The following is a 13,546-nucleotide window of genomic DNA, read 5'->3' as shown; positions in this document are numbered from 1 at the left end:
GTAGGAAATTTTACCAGCTGCAGATTTAGCAGCTGGTTTAATTTTTATATACTATTTTTAATCAGGCTTTACTCTCCCTGGTCAATCTTTGCATCTTATAATAGTTACATAATGATAGGAATTTGTGTTGATCTCTAACCAAGTTTAACTTGAATACCTTTATTTGTTGTCAGTTTTAATTTGTGTTAACTGTTTGGATTCTTTTGGATAGATTTCTAGAAGTAAGTCTTTATATCCAAAAGCATGGGCCTGGTAGACCCATTGTAACCACTATTTTAGATTTTTAAAATATATACCAACCATTTTGAAACCCAAGATGTACTCACTGTTACCTGCTTGTGGCAAAAAATTCAAATTAGTCACAATTGCTCCAAAACAATAACATGAATCTAGTATGTATTTTGAAGAGAGAATAATGTTAAATTTGGAAGGGACGTTTACTTACTTTTCAAGCCAAAATAAATGTTAATTTTTCTAGCTCAGTGGTAAGCTTAGGTACCTATTTCAGAGTTATTTATTTTGTTTTAATGGTTAAATCGCTTTTTTTGTTTTTGTTTTTGTAGATGCATATCCGTGGTTGGAATGCTTCATCAAGTCATACAATGTCACAAATGGAACAGATAATCAAATTTGCTATCAGATTTTTGACACCACAGTTGCAGAAGATGTAATCTAATATTGCCATCCAATTTAGCATACATAAAATGTTGCCACTCACCTTCCCTGTTTGAGCTTCTTTTCCTGACCTGAGTTTTGTATCAGCAATGTTGATGATGTTAGCATGGGTATGGGATTAGAAAATGTCCTTACCTTAAATCTCTTGGCTTTTACTGGGTGCAAGGTAAATAATGGCTATGGATTTTGTTTTGCTTTCTGTTTTGCTTTTGTACAAAGAGACCTGCTTAAACAAGTACTGCTGAGATAAGTGTCTGATCAAGCTACAGTGTACTTTAAGTAGAAATGGCAAAGTTGCTTTGTTGGGGTGCTGATACTGATGATTTTAGGATAAATTCATTTCTTTAAACTTGTAATACATGGTTTTATTGCTTGTTTCTCTCCAGGATAGTAGAGATTTCTCTATTTCACCTCAACCTAATAAAAGTGGTCAGATTTATAATGTTAATGACTTAATATTATCCTTTTCTAATAGTCTCATGTAAAATATGCCGCTATTACAACTTACAACTAATTGAATGAGATGTTAACTTAGTAAAATAGTTTGATTTTTACCTGACAGTGTTTGTCAAATTTAAAATCATGAATATTCAATTTTATACAAACATTTATATATATATATATAGATTTGTGTATGTTATTTGCCAAAGACAGATATAAATTACCTGGTTTAATATTAGTGAAGAATAAATAAGTGCACACATTTCAACTGTTTCATTTATTTGCCCTAAGTTGAGCTGAAAAATGATATGAGGCAAAGAATCGAAATAGGTGTGGCAATGCAGCAGATGTTTAGGGCTGTCTACATCCCAGGTACTGTGCTAAGCACTAAACATGTATTTGATCCTCACAGCAACCTATTTTTCCGATAAGAAATCTGAGGCTTGATTGATAAGCTGACTTGACTAAGTTCACACAGTTTGTAAAAGCTAGAGTCTGTGCCTTAATTCACATAATCTCTATTCAGAGCCTGTACTGTTAACCACTCAAGGATTCTGGAACAGAAGCTAACAGTTTTCTGCAACGAGTCTTTGACTTAAACATCTGAAATAACATTGGAAATAGATTATAAGAGGAGTCAGTGTGTTTTTCTATAGTTTCAAAATACTTTTAACATCTTATTGTCAAAAAGATTGGATAACTGACTTTCTTTGCTCATAATAACTCTAAATTCTAGTTCCTGAGTACATTAACACATCTTCTTTACCTAACTACCAATGTCCCCCATCATCGACTTATCAGCTTGTTTGAGACAATGAGAAAGACTGATTTTATTTTCAAGAATATAGACTCTTGGTTCAAAACATTTTCAGGAAAAATATTTTAAAACCCTACAGTTGAACAGGTGTGTTTCCGTGTTGATGATGTGCTCAGGATACAAAGGTGAAATAAACATTTTTTCTGCCTTCAGGAAGCCCTCAATCTAGAAGAGTAGAGGTCCAAAGGTGCCATATGTTCACACTGTGAGCCTGCAAGATCTCCACGTTAACAAAGGAAAACTCTTCCTATGAATCTTCATGATGATAGGCCATGTCTCTTCTTATTTTTGTTTTAAATAAACATCCACCTTATCATGATTTCTTTTGGTTTATTGTGGGGTTTTGTCCTTGTCTTTTTAAAAAAATTTTCAGTTTTTAGCAAGAATTATTCCATCAACATCTAGTGTTTCTCTAGAGATGATGTATGCACTTTATGCTAATCAGGAACCCAGAGAGGAGAATTTTATTTCTGGAGCAACAACTAAATGGTAGTTCATTGTGCCCCAATTTGATCCCTGCCCCTTTCTGTAAACACTGATAGAATCTTCCTGTCAGATTTTAAATTACACAAATTTAAGAAAGAAGTTTGTGTACAGACTCACCCTCAGTTTCCACTTTCTGCAGCTTCCATTTTTTAAGACACTACTGGATTGACTCATGCTGTCCCTGTATTGTTCTTAGAATGTATGTCTTAGAAAAATCTGAGACAGTCCATTATTCTTTATCTGGATGTAGCAATGAGAAACACACTACTTACAGGCTTTTTCTGTGGCCACCTTCAATTATACTGCTGTATTTGAGGGAACTATACATGCCAAGATACAATGTATCATTCCTCATTTCTTTTTACCCCTGCTCATGCTTTAAGTTGGAAATTGTTTCTAAATAATTATAGAAAGACTGATGTTGATGGTCTAGAAGAAGCTGACTATACCTCTGTCTACCTAAAAAAGTCTCTTCACCCATTTGGGTACTGGCTGCCCAGATTTCAAATTGGTGTAGATCCTGTGCCTTAGCTACTTGGAGGTAACAGAAAAGGACCAAAATCTTTTTCCTGCCTACTTCCCAGCTGACTATGCAGTCCTGTTTTAGATATCAAAGCATGAATTTGTCACTACGTGTGACTCTGAATCCAGACAATTTTCTTCTATACTTTCTAGAAGCTTTTCTTGGGATCTGGAAAGGCTAAAAACTCTTTTGATTATTTTCAATGTTGTTTTAAATTTGACCGTATATTTCATCAAGTTTTGTTTTTATCTAGACTTTTTTTAATAGAAGTAAGAATTTGAAACAAATATAGGGTCTATAAACTTGAACTGATTCCTGCTCCAATTAGTACCCAGGAAGAAACCACTTTTAACAATACAGTGTATAATTTTTCAGATTGTTCTTTCTAAGAACATGTGAGCATGCATATGTGTGTATGTATATACACACACATATATATTTTAGCATCATGTTAAATAGTTGTGCAACTTTTGTCACTTTATATAGACAACTGTATTTTTTCATGTTGATACATACAGGGAGAAACTCATTGCTTATAATTACTCAGCATAAGTAACTTTCAATGTGTAATTCTCTGATAATTTTACTATTTCTGTTGTGGTTTTTTGTGTAAGTATTCTATTTTTTATTGTGCCAGTTTGGGATTTTATATGTTTACAAAAATGTATTCTTGTTATCTGCTTTGTTACCACATAGTTATTCATGATAATGTGTTTTACTTATTATTTTAGTCTGTATTTTGTCTGGTGTTATTTCCCCTTTAAATGCATCTGGAAGCCCAGAAACCTAGTTTCACTATGTCCTCTGGAGGTTTTTAGGTGATAAGAGTTTTGGAGACCTATACAGACTTCCAATACAGGATTAGGACTCAGCCATGACATAGTTGCTTTAAATTATTATTTCATGCTTTGAAGAATTTATTGTGAAACGAATGTTAATGTAAGAAAAAAGAACACCTTCTGTAATGCTTTTCATTAGGAAATGCAGACTCTGTGAAGGCTATGATAAGTCACACTAAAGTTCTAGAACATTATTTTAGGGGAAATATAAATATCTCTTCCTTTCTTGGCCCCTCGGAATCTCTGGATAGTGTCAACCCTACCCATTCCAGGAAAAAGGGACCTAGTCAGCTAGTAAAATCTGGGCATGATGACCTGTCTTCTCTCTGGTACTTGGAATGGGTATCTAAACTCACTAAGCAGGCACTCATAGGTGCTCTCAGGTATGTGAGATCCTATCTTCTTTTGGCAGTCGGGAAATTAGTAGTGCTATGTTTTTGTTTTTGTTTTGTTTTTTCACTATTGTGATTTAAGCTGTTAGGAAATTTGAGATCAGCTAGGGATTCTAAGTGATGATCATCTTACATGGAGATAAATAAATGTCCCTTCCATCAGGACTGCATTTGATGGGTTGAAAATTATTGGGCATCAATTACAATGACAAAGATAATGTATCAGTGTATGTGGGAGCTCTCCCTCACATGGCCAATTGGTGAAACATGGATAGTGCAGAGATTCCTCGGCTATTTTTCGACTCTAGCAACATCTTAATGAATTTCTGGTATTTTTCCTTGAGATCTAGGCCACAAAGTCACAGTCACATTGGTAGTGTGTGTGTGTGTGTGTGTGTGTGCTTTTATTTTCTTTGTGTTCACTTTGCAGGGTACTATGTTGGAATTTACCTAAAAATCTAGTCCACAACTACCAAAGAAAGCATTTTCAACTTTTGTGAAACTTTCTTTTATTTCATCTGTTTGTTCATAGTATTTTAAAGATTTGGAGCATGTGTGTGTTAAAAACCTTAAGCTTCCTATCATCTATTAAACAAATATGGTGCAGTTCCTAAACATGTACCTTTTTATATACAACCTTGCTTTTTTTCCCTATAACTTCAAAATGGTTTTTCCCTTCTTTGAAATTGGAACTCCCAGATAAAAGCCCTTTTGTTGTTACACAAACACTATTCCTTAGCCGACTTCTGTCCTCCATTAGAAGGCAGTCTTTCTAGAATTTAAAGTCTCTTGCCAAGTTTAGCTACTTCGTAAGTGACATTCTGTCCCAAGCTTTTATAATAGTTAATACATACATAAATAGCTAATGCAAGTCTCTCATAGCACTACAAGGAAGGTAAGTCATTTTAAAATCAAAAGTATTAACCTGTGGAGTCAAGTGAAAACATCGCTTGCAGCAGGTAGGCATGGCTGTGGTTTTAGTTTTGTATAGGAAATCTTATATGTTTAATCTTCATTAGAAAAGGTTCTAAAAAAATAAACACCTTTAAATTTTGGAATCATTAAATATTTTTGTACAATAAAAGGTTAAATGGAGATTAAGACAAAGAATACAAAGTACAAAATGATATGTAAAAGTTATTACATACCTCTGTATTCATTTATTACTCATACAGTGTCTGTATCCAAAAAGGATTTGCTGCGATTTACAATAAAAGACAAACATGAGACACAGGACACACCTTTAGAAACAGGGCAAGAAGGGCCAAAGAGAGAAGTTTAAGATAATTTAAAAAATCTAATCCAAGGAATGCTACAGGTTTGGAACAAAACTTACTGAAACAGCAGTGTTCCCTGACACCCCTCGCAGGACATGCCACAGGGGTGTGATTCTGTGTTCAGGCCGCTGCAAGCTCAAAACCCTTATTGGACAGGGAGCACACATACGGGCAGGTGCAGGAACTGGGGTGAGAACTTTTGGGCTCCAGCCCCATGGCAGCATCTAGGGGTGGGTGCCTGCGACTCCTGAAGCCCCAGTGTTACAGTGCTCTTTTAGCTCTGCCATCCGCAGATGGCTTAAGTGCTAGCCTCTCAGTGCCCCCCTTGTCACACAGGCTCTTGTTTGGAGTCCAGGAAGAATCAGGTCACACATGGACTTGAATGATGAATGTGGGGGTTTTACTGAATGGTGGACGTGGCTCTCAATGGGATGGGTGGGGAACTGGAAGGGGGATGGAGTGGAAAGATGATCTTCCCCTGGAGTTTGGCCATCCACCAGCTGATCTCTCCCATCACCTCCAGCCGAACTCAACATTCAGACACTCCTTTCCTTCTCTCCTTCTCTACTGTGCCTTTCCGCCATTTTTCTGTTCGTCTCCTCATCTGCTGCTGGAGTCTGGGGCCTGAGGTTCATATGGGTGTAGGATAGAGGGCATGGCAGGCCAAAAGGCAACTTTTTGGGTATGAAAACAGGAATGCCTGTTCCCATTTAGGGCCGTGGGTTTCTAGGCTTGAGAGTAGGGCCTTTGCCAGGGAACTGCCCTCTTCTACCCCGTATTTTCCTGTCTTCTGTCCGTATCATTATTACACATGAAAATGCAACAGGTTACATTGCTCCTACTAAATAAAAGTTATTAAATTATGCTTTTAGGGCATACAGAGTTTTTCTTTATCTCAATATTGAGTACAGGTAAGTTTTTATATTACACACCCTAAACAGAATGATTTACGTAGTTAATAGTAGTTGCTTTAAAATGCAAAAACATGATCCAGAATGTAGGAGTTAAGTTCTGAAGATGGAAGAAATGGAGCAGGGGAATATTCCTCTAACTGTCCACCTTTTGTCTCTTATGTGAGGAATGTGTTTGTTTTAATGATTAATGTAAAGGGTCTGAAATATCTGCATATTTAAAAATTATTAGAAGCAATAATTACAAGAAAAAGTCAAATATTTTTCTGGTATTAAAAAATCTATTCTCAGCCGGGCATGGTGGCTCACACCTGTAATCCCAGCACTTTGGGAGGCCAAGGTGGGTGGATCACAAGGTCAGGAGATCGAGACCATCCTGGCTAACATGGTGAAACCCCGTCTCTACTAAAAATACAAAAAAATTAGCTGGGCGTGGTGGTGGGCGCCTGTAGTCCCAGCTACTTGGGAGGCTGAGGCAGAATGGCGTGAACCTGGGAGGCGGAGCTTGCAGTGAGCCGAGATCACGCCACTGCACTCCAGCCTGGGCAACAGAGCGAGACTTCGTCTCAAAAAAAAAAAAAAAAAAATCTCTTCTGATACAAATGTCACTGAGAAAATTGGCTTTTTGCCTTTGCCTTTTCCTTTTCTTGTTGGAGGTGATGAATTAAAAGAAATCTTGAACAGAATGATTCATGTCAGGAAGAATGCAGGTTTTAATGAGTTATTTGGAAGACATGTATTCCAGTTTTTCACCTTTACTGCTCCATGGAAGATGTTGCTTTAGTCATAAGTCAAATTAGCTTCACACCTGTGCCCAACTGGGAATTTGCTGGGAGAGTATTTTACCTACATCAAATTTACTAAGCTCTAATACCCAAACATTACATCTAGTCATCCATGATTCCTCTTTCTTTTGCGCTCCACATCCAATCCATTATAAAAATTATCATAGCTAACTCTTTAAAATAAATCCAGAATTTGACTATTTATTACCACTTCTACCATCATGTTGGTCATGCTACCATCTTTTTATGCCTGGACTAGAGCCAGTGCCCTGCAACTGGTCTTCCTGCCTCCACAATTTCCCCACATATTGCATTCTCAGCCCCAGGTTGATCTGTTAACACATAAGGCACATACTATTTTCCATGTGATTACCATGGCCTTCACCACCCAATGTGATAGATTCAGTTCCTCACTACCACTCTGATAACTTCTATTCTCATTTTTCTCCTTTCACTGCTTTCCAAACACTGGTCTTATTTTTCCAACCTACAGGTCCTTTGTACATGATGTTGTTACTTTAGTCTGGATACTGTTGAGTAGTTGTAGGTTTCATGGTTCATTGCCTGACATCCTCTGTTCCAACATGATCTTACCAGAAAGGCCACCCCTGACTATATAAAGGATAACCCTACCCATCCCACTCCATGCCCCCACCCCTGCCTTATTTTTCTCCACTGCTTTTATCCATCTGACATAGATTTATTTCTGCATCTCACATACATTTATTTGTTCAGTAGAACATGAGCTCCTTAGAGAGGCACAGAGTTTCATTTGTTCACTGCCATTCACCAAGTATCTAGAAATTCATGGCACATAATAAATGCTCAGTAAAAATTCCTAGAATGAATAAAATGATCATCTCATATTTGAGAACTCTCTCCCAAAAATATCAGGTTAGTGCAAAAGTAATTGCAGTTTTTGCCATTTAAAGTAATGGCAAAAATACTAGAATTTATCAGCACCTAAAGTGATTTTAGAGCAGTGGTAACCTGGGATGCAGAAATTTACATTGAAAAGTAAAACCGCTTGAACCCAGGAGGCAGAGGTTGCAGTGAGCCGAGATCACGCCACTGCACTCCAGCCTGGTGACAGAGTGAGACTCCATCTCAAAAAAAAAAAAAAAAAAAAAAAAAGTAAAACCTAGGTAATTGTGATATAGATTGAATAAGGATTCGATGAGCTGAGGCTCAGTCATTTGTGTTAACAATGTCCCCAGATGATTTCTCCTTTAGTAAAAATATGTGGACACACTTTTCAAAATTCTTTTAGAGTATGGGGTCTGTATCTGATTGCTTTTAAAAATTTATTTAAAATGCCTGGCCCTGAAAACAGTTGAGTTGAAGCGCCTTGATCTAGAATCTGTACCAATCAGTGGTTCTTAACCCTGGCTTCAAGTTATTAATCTGTACCAGTCAGTGGTTCTTAACCCTGGCTTCAGGTTATTATCACCTGGGGAGGGAATTTTAAAAGTATCGGATTCCAAGGTGTCACTCTGGAATCTAGCTCAAGACTGCATGGATTCAACTGCCTGATGCACAGCTCACTAGCTATTTGACCTGAAGCCAGTGGTTAGCTTTTCTTGAAAACTGGGAATTATAATAGTGCCCACTTTAGAAGGCCGTGATGGGGCAGGAAAAAATGAAATATTAAAATGCTTAGAATCCGGCACAGAAGAAAGTCTCATAAAGGATTAGATGTCAGTAAGTTTTGGCGACAAAAACCAATCATCTTTATTGTTACCCTCTTAAAAAGAGCCTTAAAATTTATTCCTTTCCTCTATTTTGCTGATTCCTTAACATCCCAGCCACCCTTGCTTTAATGTTGACAAGGGGAAGCAACTACACCCTTCAGGTTATTTCAGGCCCAACTAGTGAAGCTATTACAAAATGAGTATGAAATGGAAGGAACATGGGAATGAAATGGAGTGAATGTCATTGGATCAGTTGACCAAAGAATCCTCTCCTAAGATGGTTATCTGGATAGTTTTTCGATTGCAAATGCTATTTTTTTCATTATCTTGTTCCTGTTGTGCAAAAATATGGAGAAAAAAGAAACTCAGTAATCATTATACACCAGTAGGGCTGATTTTTAAAATAGAGAATAGCTTGACTAAGTGACTTAATGAAGAGGAATCTGAAAATAATAGTGTACAAGCACTGAGGAAGAAGGAAAACACTCTTCTACTCTGAAACAATGGCAGAAAGGAAGTCATTTGTAAATTTTATGGGAAATTTTTTTGCATGTAGCTAGTTTGTGAAAGTCTGCAGTTTCTTCATTCAAGTCACTTAAAACTAAATGCAAATAAAACTGTACATTTCCCAATGCCTTTATCACTCTAAAGTGTTTATATGTAATAAATCATTGACTACCATTAGTTGTTTTTCAGAGTCATCAGGAAATATTTGTCTTATTATTTGGTATGATCTAATTTGGAGTGTGATTATATAACTCAATGTACCTGTCTCTTCTTATAATAGAGATTTAAAGAAAGAATAATGATATAATACACTACTAGTGTTGAGTCCCTGTGGCTTTAGTGAAATCTAAATGCAAATCAAAATGCGTTTTTTATGCTAGGATATTTGGTAAGACATTTTAATGCTTATTTTATGGTTCTACAGACCATAACATATCTATTTGAAAGCATTGAATTTCCAATATTGAATATGCAAGATTACTTTCTACCTTAAGATCACAAAAGAGACATGGAACATAATTTATCTACCTCAGAAAATAAGATTTGGTTCATAATGAGAGAACACGTTAGGTACTTAAAATTTACTGAAATCGGGCTTCAATGTATTCCTCAGTCTTTATGACACTACACTTGGTCATTCTAAGACAGTGATAAAGCAAATCTTTGACAGCAGTACCACACCCACAGGATAACAGCAGAGGAGGTAAAACCATGTGGCACAATTCAGTTAACTTCCCCTATTAGGGAAGCCAACTCTGCAAACATTCATATCATGTTTTCTCCAGCTCCAATCCAAAAAGATCAATGTACTTTTCCAAAGTTTAAAAAAAAAAAAAAACAGCTCATACTTGTCTTAGTCATTGGTTCTTTACCAGAAATTCCACTCTGCCAAAAGAACACCTGCTGAGAGGTTGAATCTCTCTTGGTGGAGCTTAAGTTTTTTCCCTTAAAGCCTTAAGCCTTCATGAAATGCAAATCAATCTGGAAAAACTTGATGTTGTTGTCAATATCTGAGATTAAGTGACATTTTATTAAAAATAGAATGATTACCAAGCACAAGTGTCAGAAGGCTCCATTGCACAACTCTGGGGATCACCCCTGACACAGACTCAGGGTGAATGGCACCAGCCCAGCCCAAGTTGGGAAGTGAAGGCAGAGCTGGCAGATGAGATTGCTTACCCCAAGCCTCACCTGCTAAGAGTCAGCAAACTTGAGATCCAGTCCCAGGCTTCACACTAATTCATTTAATCCTGAGCAAGTCACTTCTCTGGACTCTTATCTATAAAAGACCATTTGCTTTCCAATTTTCAGCACTTACTAGTTTACAAAGTATTGCCTATAAAATTTCACCTATTAAATGAAAATGTAAATAAGAGCTTTTGGTCTGATTAATATAACTAATGCTGAATTTAACATAATTCATCTACTCCTAAGCAAAAGCAAGGAACTGTTGCAGATTTCTCATGGTTAATATTGCAACTGTTTAAGCTTTTTGAAATGTTGAAAATAGTTTAGGAACCCCACTTTCTGCCCATTGCTCCCTTGAAGTCCTCTAATAGTTCAGAAATGGTTTGTAAACCAGTAAACTGGAAGATCTTTAAGGTCCCTTCCAATTCTAACATTTCTTTGATTGTTCAGTTTTGCCCAGAGACACTTCTGTTGTATCCCACTGACTGTTGTTGTTGACTGCCCTAAAATAGGAAATCACCCTATCCAGTAACGAGATGTTTTACACTAACTATCTAGCTAAAAGGCTTAATATAGTGAGCATTCTCAGTGGAAAGAAGGAAATGACAGAATACTGCTTTACAGGCTTCCTTCTGGACATGATTTAAGAACAAACCCCTAAGTAGCCTAAGGGAAAAGTAAAAAGAAATAAGAAATATTACCACAAATCCAAAATCATCATTGACCTTTATTCATAATTCTCTTCCTGTTGAGTTTCCTCTTCTGAAGTGTGAATTCCCTTTGACATCTGGAAGAAGACTTTTCAATCTCACCTAGAAGAACTTTATATTACCCCTGTTCATGTCAGTGTTTTGAGAAAGAGGAAAATTAATTGCTTAGCTCCTTCATCTCAATGGAGTTTTTTTTTTCTATTAATTTCAGTGTGTAGCAAGTAAAACATTAGTGTTCTTGCAAACTAATCATTAATTTTCTTTAAATCCCTGGCAGTTTATTTAGGTAGTAGATATTTTTAAATGGAAAAATCACAAATTTAAAGAAATAACTACATACATTACTCTTTATAATTCGTAATGCTCTTCTAGAGACTTCAGGTTGGTAGCAGTATTAACCTGCCCTGAATTCTCTTATGTCCTTCCTCCCACCTTGGAGCGGGTGGGGGGTGGGGAGGGATGCAGGCTGTAGTTTTCCCAGCAGATTCTTCTTACATTCCTCCAACTTCCCCCCAAGAGCACTGATCCAAAATATACAGCCTAAAATTTTATGGCAATTAATAAAATTATATCACTGCCTGAAACAAAAGCTTTACATGTGGGTTTGTTCCACAGATTTTTACTGGACCCCATTATGTAGAAAGAATTGTTGTACCTCCATTTTAGTATCAGACATACCCATTTTCTTTCCTAACAGTTATTTAGGAGACATACTTCAGACTCTGAAAGCACAGATGAACACAGGAGAGTTAACAAGTTGGGTGAAGATAGCCTGCATCGTTCAGTACACTGTCAACCTTTCTACCAATATTCAGCTACAAGCCAGGTGTAAGTAAAAAACTGATACATTAGAAGTCATTGGTATTAACTGATGTTGACATAATAGCAAACATATGTAATTATTCTAATATCTAGATAGATTTTTCAAAATCCATAAGAAAGAATTTTATGCCTTTCTCAGCAATAGTTGATTTGTTTTTTCCTATGAGTAGACAGAATGCACAAATACAATTTCATGTATATGGTACAAATTAAAAAGGCAAAAGGATCAATGTGATATTACAATGTTTATTTATAGTAACCTTTCTCCAGGTTAGTGGATCACAAAAAAACCTTCAATGAGGCACTTCAAAGACAATAGATGAAAAATGTACTCTTTTGTTCCTATTCTTGTTGCATTAAGGAAAAAATTCAACAGTTGTTGGAAGAAAAGTTAGTTTTCATGTGATATACTTCAGTTGTATACTGTTGGCTAATCTAAAGGCAGGCTGTTAATGACAAAAAAAATGCATTGATAAAGATAATCACCATAAACACCAAAAAATTATTTTAAAAAGTCACTGCCTTTAGATATGTATAACAATACCTTTTTTGATTGTGTTTTATCTTGGTCTTCTCAACAACCTGTCTTAGGGAAATTTCATTATCTTCTTCCTACTACAACCAAGAACACTGGCACTTGAAGATCTTTACTATGTTGGAGGCTGTTTGAATCCGTTTGGCTGCTATAACAAAAACCATAGACTGGGTGGCTTAAAAACAATAGAAATGTATTTCTCACAGTGCTAGAGGCTGGGAAGTCTAAAATTCTAATGTTAGCAGGTTAGGTGTCTGGTGAGGGCCAACTTCCTGGCTTATGATGACTATCTTTTCACTGTCACCTCACATGGCTCTCATGACCTACTCACCACCCAAAGATCCCACCTTCCAATACCATCATCTGTGGGGTAGGATTTCAACATACAAATTTTCAGGGGACCTAAACATTTAGTCCATTACAAAAGCCCTAACAAAAAAAATCTGTGATCAACTGACACATCCCCTCCGCACTTTAATGAACTGAAAACTGAAACTGGCTTAACCAGAAACTGACCCAGGGCTATAACTATATTGCCAACTCTTAGTTTTGCACTTTTTCACTATATAATATTAATACATTAATATTAATTTACTTATAATACAATGCTTATATGTCTTAAAAGTGGAAAACTGTGTTATAACAATGTTTCTTTCATGAAATGATTAAGGGTCTGGTGTCCACAAAACAATCTTTAAAATCTATTCTAAAGGCAGCAACAACAGAATGTTCAATGTATTTGGATTGCGAATTTCCTTAAGAAATTATCAGTTGAAAAATGAAGCCACAAAAAATAATACATGAACTTGGTTTTAAAAATTGGTAGTGACAGTAAATAAATTAGGAATGGAATATGGGTAGAACAAAGAGTAGCCTGTCAACTTCATTTTTCTCTATTTTAAACAGTCACTTTGATGTAAAGCCTTTCATCTAACATGTGATCTAGT

At 36.2% G+C, this 13,546-nt stretch overlaps 1 protein-coding gene across 5 annotated transcripts in view; it reads left to right on the top strand.

The window, feature by feature from the left end:
- POT1 (protection of telomeres 1) overlaps positions 1-2,252 on the top strand; it is a 107,440-nt gene extending 105,188 nt beyond the window's left edge. For all 5 annotated transcript variants that reach the window (NR_003103.2, NR_003104.2, NR_003102.2 and 2 more), the window contains one exon: positions 564-2,252. Coding sequence is in view for 2 of the 5 variants with exons in the window: in NM_001042594.2 (NP_001036059.1) it covers positions 564-676 (113 nt within the window). In the remaining 3 variants the exon portion in view is untranslated. The remainder of the gene's footprint in view (positions 1-563) is intronic.

This window comes from Homo sapiens, chromosome 7, assembly GCF_000001405.40.
Source record: "Homo sapiens chromosome 7, GRCh38.p14 Primary Assembly".
Classification (NCBI taxonomy): Eukaryota; Metazoa; Chordata; class Mammalia; order Primates; family Hominidae; genus Homo; species Homo sapiens.
This window is presented reverse-complemented; position numbering and strand designations above follow the sequence as displayed.